The 1,422-nt window shown below is 42.4% G+C and overlaps 1 annotated feature.

The window, feature by feature from the left end:
* Window positions 202-706: a silencer, noted in NCBI's record as "fragment chr7:135032494-135032998 (GRCh37/hg19 assembly coordinates)". NCBI's record gives its function as "represses an EF-1alpha promoter that drives an FKBP-Casp9 reporter gene in an ReSE screen in both phorbol 12-myristate 13-acetate-treated (for megakaryocytic differentiation) and untreated K562 erythroleukemia cells {active_cell/tissue: K562 | K562(+PMA)}" and the evidence as "EXISTENCE:reporter gene assay evidence [ECO:0000049][PMID:32094911]".

Below are 1,422 nucleotides of genomic sequence, written 5' to 3'. Positions count from 1 at the left end.
TTTTCATTTCGGAAGAAGATGCTCCTTTGTGGTATCTGGCAGAGTATCCAAATGTATTAGGTTGGTGCAAAAGTAATTGCAATTTTTGCCATTTACTTTCAATGGCAAGTACCATGAATACTTTTGCACCAACCTAATATAATGGAATCCTGTGCTCAAGAAGGCTTTTAGGGACAACTAATATGTCTTTATGCATCCAGGGAAGGCAGCATTTTAACCAGTATAGATGGATGAATATTTTATTGCTTTACCTATTAAACATACAGTTATTGAGTACACAACAGCCAGAGTGCCAAGAATGAAGAGACATGTTCCTGACTACTTAGGTAATCACAGACTCAAAGGGGAGACTGACATGAATAGTTCTTAAAGCTTTCAATTGTGAAGTATAAGACATAATGAAAAGTACATAAAGCCAAGGTGTGCAGAATGTTGTAGTGACATGTAGAGGGAGGGATTGGTTCAGTGTGAAGAATCGGGGCCAACTTCACAGGGCAAGGAACATGGAAGCTGGAATATAAAGGATGAGCAGGGTTTAGCAGGTGAAGCCCAGAGATTTGGGGTGGGGGTGGCAGAGGGGATGGAGAGGATATGGCATTCCCAGCCAGGGAAGTGACAGGTGCAAAGACAGAAAGACATGAAAGTGCTTACCAGGTAGTGGTGTGATTGGGGTATTGTTGGAGGAGTAGCAAGAGGTACTGAAAAGGCAGGTTTAAGCCAGACTTTTAAAGGTCTTGACTGTCATGCTAAGGAATGTAGGCTTCATATTGTGCTTGACATGGCAGACTAGGCCTTCTCGTATCTTAGAAAGTTACCTTGGATTGTACCGTGGTTGCAGGGAAGCTAAGAGAGGAGTGTCATGGTCAATTACGTCAAATGCCATGGAGGCCAAGTGAGACAAAGACTGAAAACAGTTCATAGAGTTGGAAATTTGGAGGTCACTGATCACCTTTTCCAGGGGGAAGGTAGAAGTATGATTATAGCAGATCAAGAAATGAATGGATGTTCTCACTTCTATGTGGCATCTAAAAAAGTTGAGCTCCTAGGCATAGAGAGTAGAGTCGTTGTTACCAAAGGCTGGTGAGGTGGAGTGGACAGGAACAGAGAAGACAGCAAAAAGGACTGGAGGAGAAAAAAATCCCACTAATTAACAATAGAGTGTGTGTGCGTGTGTGTGTGTGTGAGAGAGAGAGTATTTGATTAGTGCAATATTAACACACACAAACACACACACACACACACTGGAAGTAATGAAACCAGTTTAAAAGGTATTGAGAAAAAGCCAGACACAAAAGGACAAATATTGTGTGATTCCACTAATATGAGGTACCTAGAGTAGTCAAACTCCTAGAGGAAGAATAGTGGTTACCAGGAGCGGGAGGGAGGAGGAAGGGGAGTTACTGTTTCGTGGGTACAGAGTTC

This window comes from Homo sapiens, chromosome 7 (assembly GCF_000001405.40).
Source record: "Homo sapiens chromosome 7, GRCh38.p14 Primary Assembly".
Classification (NCBI taxonomy): Eukaryota; Metazoa; Chordata; class Mammalia; order Primates; family Hominidae; genus Homo; species Homo sapiens.
The sequence above is the reverse complement of the archived record's forward strand: the minus strand, read 5'-3'. Positions and strand labels throughout refer to the sequence as shown.